This window comes from Homo sapiens, chromosome 6 (assembly GCF_000001405.40).
Source record: "Homo sapiens chromosome 6, GRCh38.p14 Primary Assembly".
Lineage (NCBI taxonomy): Eukaryota > Metazoa > Chordata > Mammalia > Primates > Hominidae > Homo > Homo sapiens.
Window position 1 is genome coordinate 141,681,918 of NC_000006.12, and position 8,058 is coordinate 141,689,975.

At 33.7% G+C, this 8,058-nt stretch overlaps 1 protein-coding gene across 1 annotated transcript; it reads right to left on the minus strand.

Moving 5' to 3' along the window:
• Window positions 1–4,180: 4,180 nt before the first annotated feature.
• Window positions 4,181–5,251, minus strand: LOC124901415 (histone-lysine N-methyltransferase SETMAR-like). Its single transcript, XM_047419639.1, has one exon. It carries the CDS (start codon window positions 4,970–4,972, stop codon window positions 4,484–4,486), a length of 489 nt encoding a protein of 162 aa, XP_047275595.1. The 5' UTR covers window positions 4,973–5,251; the 3' UTR covers window positions 4,181–4,483.
• Window positions 5,252–8,058: the final 2,807 nt, after the last annotated feature.

Below are 8,058 nucleotides of genomic sequence, written 5' to 3' on the forward strand. Positions count from 1 at the left end.
ATTGTAAATGTCTCTTCTTATCTTGAAAAATCAGTGTAGCAGTCATCAGGTGAAGTCATCATGGCTGCTATGAATCCAAAAATATGCATTTTTTAAATATTGTATTTCAAAATTATTTCTGACTTATCAAAAAGTTGTTAAAATATTTAAAATATGACCGTATTTTGTTCACTGCACTTCACAAATGTTGTTAGCATATTTTTCCACTTTATCATTTCTGTGGGGGCTGGTGGGGGAGGTAAGTTTGAGCACTGAATGGCATATGACATATGGGAAATTTTGATCTGGAGCCAAATATTCTGAACACTAACTGAGGTTCAAAATAAACTTTACTAAATTCTGAAAAAGTGCATAATTCATGTCAGGCTATAAAATATAACCCATCAGTACATCTACTTTTTTGAAAATTTTTATTAAATATTCTTAAGTATCTAGAATGATGTGGAATGTTCCGGAAAAGCTTTCTTAAATTGTCTTTGTTTAGGGTTACTAATTATTTATACACTTAGTATTTGTAAATAATTGAGAGCAAGGTATTAACATTGGATCAAAATATTTTACCATCTTTAATACTAGCAAAGTTGTCTTCCTGTATAGCCAAATTTAGCCCAGGGATCTACCAAACACTGATTCATCAATTTAGTAATAACCAGGGAAGCTGGAGAAAAAAATGGCTTGCCAAAGCATGCCTATTTACTAACCACTAGAGGAAATCAAGGGCCAGCCTGATCCCTTCTTAAAATCCATGAAACAAGGAAGAAGGAAAAGAGAGAGACAGCACCTATAGACTATGTTGTCTATGTTTTATGTGCTCAAAAAGTTATGTATTAGCCTATTTGTATGGCTCAGGTGATATTGGTCTCTGCTCATTGGCAAGCAGATCATTCATTCATTCCTCTTACCAAGGGAGGAGCAAGCGGAGGGAAGAGAAAAACTTGCCATGAGGTGATAACTTCCTCCAGGGCCATAAAAAATCTATGATAAGTTGAAATGGGTTCTTGCATCAAATATACTCCTATTTTGATGTAATATATTATCTGTAGCAATTACAGTTATTTGCCAATTATTTGAAGAAAACAAAAGAGAGAAAACTTTAAATTGTTCCAGTTTGGTGAAAAGGTATTCTGAATAATAATATTCCCACATCTATTACTTTTCTGATCCATTGTTCTCAAGAAAAACACAGAAATAGATTAATGGATAATATTATATTTGTCAAAATATGATTTTGTAAATGTTTTCTCAGAAATTTTGATTGATTTCTGATCAGTTGACACCACAGAACACCTGGCAATCTGATTGGGTTGCTATTGGGTGCATCTCCATCTAGGGTCTGCACATTTTTCACATTATCTCTTTGTCTATTGTCAACTCTTCACATCTTCATATAATTTTAAACCAAATAAGGTCGTTTCTTTTAACAAGCCCCTAAATCAGACTAATTAGGTTTTCTGACATTTTCTGAAGTTGCAGGGCATTGTGGCAGGTGAAATTGCTACTACAATGAATTTCAAAACTCTCAACAGAGCAAGCTAATATATATATCTCCTATAGACAGGGATAATACAGTATTCTTGGTTAAAAGGCAATCCAGAAAAGCAACTAGAATTAAAAAAACTATAAGATAGAAAAATATTTTTTATTAATTTCAAAAAAGCATTTTAGAAATAGGCCTAAGGCCAAGCAATAAAAGCAGAAATGAAAATAAACTGAACAACTGAACAAGGCCCTTGATAAAATAAAGAAACTTTACTTTATGGTTTAATTAGAAAATATTATGCATTGAGAAAAGGGAGAAAAGCAAGTTATGTTGGTAAAGCTTTCTTCCAGCTTAATTAAATATTATATATGTTTTCACTTTGTTTCATTCTTTCTGAATTGAAAGGTAAACATTTATTTATTTCTTCAGTGTTCCATGAAACGAAGACATTGTTGCATACATAAATATAACTGTTACATGTTTGATTATGAAGCCTTTGTTTTATTCAAACCTATTTGAATTCAAAGCTGTTTTAGGAGGAAACCAAACTATAGTGAAATGAAAACATAACCATGTTTTCAGAAAGCTTAATATATGTCCAGCTCATAGATCCTATTTATTTAAAAGATTTACTCCAATAAGTACTTTCAATATTCTTTACATAATCAATTTGCACTTTCCTGCTGTCATTGCCTTTTAATTTTAAGTAATTCCAAATTTTATTAACTTTATCTAATTATTAAAAACTAGAATGAGCTGTACATTGTAAGAGTGGTAAGATATTTATATTCTTGAATGTAAAATGTAATGTATTTTAGACTTAGCACATATAACCAGCAAGCAAAAATGTTGGTGATTAACTCAAGTTATAAGGAATTAAATTAAATGAGCTTTCTTGTGTTCCCAAATATATTTTGTTTAAATTTCTGAAAAGTAATGTTATCCAGAATATCAGGAGAAGACAGTTTGATTGAGAAGGTAAAAAGCCAGCTGGAAGTTGAAGGTTGCACATTATGCACAATTGCTTGACTCCTCTTATGTTCACATGGACTGAAACAAGGGAAATATTTGTAACTCCAATACTCAGGAGTGGGCTTGGCACATAGATGATGCCCACAGACTGTTGCTCAATAAGAGCTGTTAATGAATTTTTATTTTTATTTTGTCAGAAAGGTAACCGAATTTGTAAATATGAATTACAACTTCTCTTCTTAATACTAACAGATTTGTTGTACATAGGAAGTTAAATTGGTTGTTAAACTTTTACAAATTATTTGTTTATGGACTTGAAATTTAAATTTCTGATTATATTATATTATGCAAATAAAAATAGTGATAAAAATAAAATACTGAACCTAGAGAAAGCTATTAAAAAATCCCATTGTAGAAGTTAGTTTTTAAAATGTTCATAGGATGAATATTTTTTTAAATTAAACAAAGATTGTGAACTTTAGCAAGGTTATCTATCTTCCAGAATTCTGTTTGATTTAAATTGTAAGCCATATTTTTACAATATCATTTGCTATATGCTATGTATGAAAAGAAATATTATCACCTCGATCAGATTCCAGCATGATTAGCAACTCTTATTTTTATGCCACGTACATACACACATGATCTCTGGGACTAGAACTTCAAAAGGAAATCTACGGGGCATGGAAAACAGTGGTCTTCTCAGCTAATCTCCCAAAATACAGAGCAGAGCAAAAAAAAAAAAAAAAAAAAAACAAAAAAAAACTGTTTCTCGTGGAAAAAAAAAATTATATTTAAAGAAAGTGTAGTTCATATCATTGTCATCTGGTGACGCTGACGTTTGAGAAAATTGTTTTGTTTTTACCTGATTAAATACTACAGCTTTGCCAAATAAGAGGATTTAGCCAAAGATCCAAGATATGAAAAATTTGGAGCACCTGTTTCCCAGCTGAATATGAGAGAAATTGATTCAATATTTTAAAAAATAACTTTATATAACAAAGTATTATTTCCATCTATAAGGATGCACTTATTGCAAGTAAAGAACTAGCTTTTAACACAATGGTAGAGTTGTGCAACTATCACGAACATCAAGTTTTAGAACATTTCCATTACCCCCCAAAATTTATTCTGCCCATTTGAAGTGAATTCCTGCTCTCACCTCCAGTCTCAGGCAACAACTGATCTGAGTCTGTCTCTACAGATTTGCCTTTTCTGGGAAATTCATGTAAGTTGAATCATACAGCATAAGTCTTTTGTAACAGACTTCTGTAGCTTAGCAAAATATTTTTGAGATAATTCATACTGTGCTATGTTTCAGTACTTTACTCTTTTTCATTGCTGAATAACATTCTACTGGACAGATAAGCTATAGTGTGCTGATGGACATTTAAATTGTTTCCAGTTATGGTATTAAGAATAATATTTCCATGAGCATTAACATCCAAGTTTATTTGTGGAAATATATTAATTTAATTTTTATTGGTTGGATGCCCAAGAGTGGAATTGGTAGACTGTATGGTAAATGTTTAACTTTTTAAGTAGATGCCAAAGTATTTTCCAAAATGGTTGTGTCAATTTACTTAATGAGTAGCAACATTTAAGGACTCCAATCTCCCCACATCCTCACCAGCACTTCCCATTGTCTGTCTTTTTGATTATAGCCATCACAGAGGGTGGAAAGTAGCAGGGCATTTTCGGTTTTGGACTGCGAATTTTAAATCATAATTAGGCTCAAGCACATCTTTATTAATCAAAATAAGAACGATTACAATCAACACATTTTTGCCAACAAGAAATAAGTTTGCTTATTCCCGTAGTGTACAATTCCGTACTTAGGGATTCGACAAAGTCTTGGAAAGCATTTTCTGCATGCTGCTGGTTGTGGTAGCATTTACCCTGCAAAAAATTGCCGAGATGCTTGAAGAAGTGGTAGACGGTGTGTCAGAGGTCAGGTGAATATCGCAGATGAGGCAAAACTTTGTAGCCCAATTCGTTCAACTTTTGAAGTGTTGGTTGTGCGATGTGTGGTCAGGTGTTGTCGTGGAGAAGAATTGGGCCCCTTCTGTTGACCAATGCCAGCTGCAGGTATTGCAGTTTTAGATGCATCTCATCGATCTGCTGAACATACATCTCAGATGTAATGGTTTCGCCAGGATTCAGAAAGCTGTAGTGGAGCAGACCGGCAGCAAACCACCAAACACTGACCATAACTCTTTTTGGGTGCGAATTTGGCTTTCGGAAGTGCTTTGGAGCTTCTCGATCCAACCACTGAGCTGGTGGTCGCCCGTTGTCACGGTTGTCATATAAAATCCACTTTTCATTGCACGTCAAAATCCGATTGAGAAATGCTTCATCATTGTTCGATAGAATAAAAGAAAACATTTCAAAATGACTTTTTTGATTTTTGGTCAGCTCATGAGGCACCCACTTATCGAGCTTTTTCACCTTTCCAATTTGCTTGAAATGCCAAACAACCATAGAATGGTCGATGTTGAGTTCTTGGGCAACTTCTCGCATAGTTGTAAGAGGATCAGCTTCAATGATTGCTCACAATTGGTTATTGTCAACTTCTGATGGCCGACAACTGTGCTTCTCATCTTCAAAGTTCCCATCCCCTTTGTAAAGCTTCTTGAACCACCACTGCCCTGTACATTCATTAGCAGTTCCTGGGAAAATGCGTTGTTGTTGTTGCGAATTGTCTCTGCTGCTTTACGACCCATTTTGAACTCAAATAAGAAAATCGCTCAAATTTCCTTTTTGTCTGGCATCATTTCAAAAGTGTAAAATAAATGTAAAATAAACAGCAAGTAAGAAGTCATTAGCAAAAAAGAATAAAGTGAGAAACACACATTGAAATGATGTATAACATAACCACATTTATTTAAGAATGTATTCCAATATCAAATGACAAATTTCAACAATGCAAAAACCTCAATTGCTTTTGCACCAACCTAATATATGTATCCCTCAAACAACTAACTATACTTAGCATCTCTCAATGTGCTCACTGCCCATTTTTATATCTTCTTTGAAGAAGTCTCTCTTTAAATGTGTTTTTTAAAGGAATTTTCTTGTTAATATTGAATTACAGTTATAGGAATTTTTATATCTTCAAGATATAAGTGCTTTATTAGAAATATGACTTGCAAGTAATTTCTCCCAGTCTATAGTTTATGTTTTCATGTTCTTACCAGTAAAATATTAATTCTTTGTCATACAAACATAAACAAATTTTATTAATCTAGCAAGTAGAAGTAACTTGGAAGTCATACTTGCAATATTAAGGAGAACTTACTGTTTCAACCTAGTCCTTCAAGAACTAAAATGTAAAAAAGTTAAATAGTAATTGCCATTATAAATATAGTTATATTTCCTAAATATTGTGAATTTTTAAAATGATTTTTATAGGCTACGTGTAAGTCTTGAAATAATTTTAAAATTATGTAATGAAAATAAATTAAGGTCTATTTGGGGTATTCATCCATGAATTCTTCACAACTAAACTAATATTAGTTAATATTAGCAAACTTATACTTATTAACACTTAATTTAGGTTTATCTCAAGCATGAAAATGCTAAGTAATTTGAAACTAAAATGTATGAACTAGAAACTGAAAGTTATTAAATTCTTTGCATCAAAAATATAGTAGTTAAGTCTTGTTTTTAAAGAACCCTATAGAACTACTCAGGTTCTCAGTTTTCGGTTCTAAAATTCTTAATTTCTCACACTTGTTAATCAATAAGAATGCTTGTGTTTATAAATTACTATATGTATGGTTGTCACATGAGAGAAAAGTGAAGTGACTAAGGTTTAATCTCAAACATCTCATTTTGCCATTCCTCCATTACATTCAAGAACATACCACTTCCACCCAGCTAGAAATCTGTACTTGGAGTTATCCTTTTGTTGTATAAGATTACTAATTACTGAGGACTGTGGTTCTCAATGCAGAAAATTTGACCTTGGTTTGTACTTTTTATTAAAATGGAGCTTTCCATGTTGCATGCTAGGCAGAAGTTAGAACTATAAGGTCATACTTCAAGTAGCTTAATCCATCTAACAGACCTGGATAACTCAAACAGCTAGCTAATGTTTGTGTTTCCCAGTACAACATTTAACATGATACTATTTTTCTTACCTATGTTATTTATGATATGTAGTGTGGTTTATACTTGGTAAGCAAGTGAATAAATAAATGTCCCAGAGGCCAAGTGGAGAGAATTATTGGATTATATTAGGTCAGATGGGGTGGGGAAGGAAGGAAGGTTACTTTGTGAACAACAAGTTGTCGTTTCTGTACCACATATTTAATTATATTATGTAGGTGGGTCCCTTCCAAATTCATATATGCGTAGACATTTTTCTCAACATAATGTTTTCACGTCCATGAATGGTATCAATCAGAAAACTAATCTGGCAGAACCAGATTAATTAGATTAACCAGATTAATAGTGGGCAGAACTACCTTGTGTCACTCCCATAATCACATTACATTATATAGCCAAAAATAGATTATTTAGGTGAATTTAATATAATCACCTGAGACCTTAAAACGGAGAATTTTTCAGCCAGTGGGGAGGGAAGTTAAAAGCACAAGAAAGACTTGATATGTCACTGATGCTTGAAGATCAAAAGGACCGTGTGTAAAATATAAGAAAGTGAAATTTGAAGAAGAAACCCCCACACTGCATATTTAGCCTGGTGAGACCTTGAACAGAGAACTGAGTATACTCAGTCATGGTATACTGAGTTTCAGGTCTACTGAAACTGGAAAAGAATGAATCTGTGTTGTTTCAAGCTGCTTCATATGTTATGAAGCCAAAGAAAACTAGTAGGTCATGTTGACCCACTGTCTTTTCTCTTTTTCAAGGGAAAAACAGAAATACATCAAATTTGTAACTGAAACTTTTAGGACTGTGATATGGTTTGTCTCTGTGTCCCCACCCAAATCTCAGGTTGAATTCTAATCCTCCTGTGTCAGGGAAGGGGACTAGTGGGAGGTGGCTGGATCATGGGGGTGGATTTCCCCCTTGCTGTTCTCCTGATAGTGAGTGAGTTTTCATGAGACCTGATGGTTTAAAAGTGTATGGCTATCTTCACTCTCTCTCTCTCTCTCCTGCTCTGCCGTGGTAAGATGTGCTTGCTTCCCCTTCACCTTCTACAATGATTGTAAGTTTCCTGAGGTCTCCCAGCCATGCTTCCTGTACAGCCTGTGGAACGGTGAGTCAATTAAATCTCTTTTCTTCATAAATTAGCCAGTCACAGGTAATTCTTTATAGCAGTCTGAGAACAAACTAATACAGAATGCAATGAAGAAAATTATATCTGTGTTTAGGAGATCTGATTGTTTAAAAGTGTGTGGCACCTCCCCCTACTCTCGCTTGCTCCTGCTTTTGCCATGTGATGTGCAATCTCCTGCTTCACCTTCCTCCATGATTGTAAGCTTTCGAAGTCCTCCTGAGAAGCAGAAGCCAGTGCCATGCTTCCTGTACAGCCTGCAGAACAGTGATTCAATTAAACCTCTTTTCTTTATAAATTACTCAGTCTCAGATATTTCTTCATAGCAATGCAAGAACAGACTAATACAAGTACAAAAAGTTTT

Bases quoted from the DNA above. Each gene is read 5' to 3' on its own strand.
- LOC124901415 (XM_047419639.1), bottom strand. From the start codon at position 4,972: ATGCGAGAAGTTGCCCAAGAACTCAACATCGACCATTCTATGGTTGTT.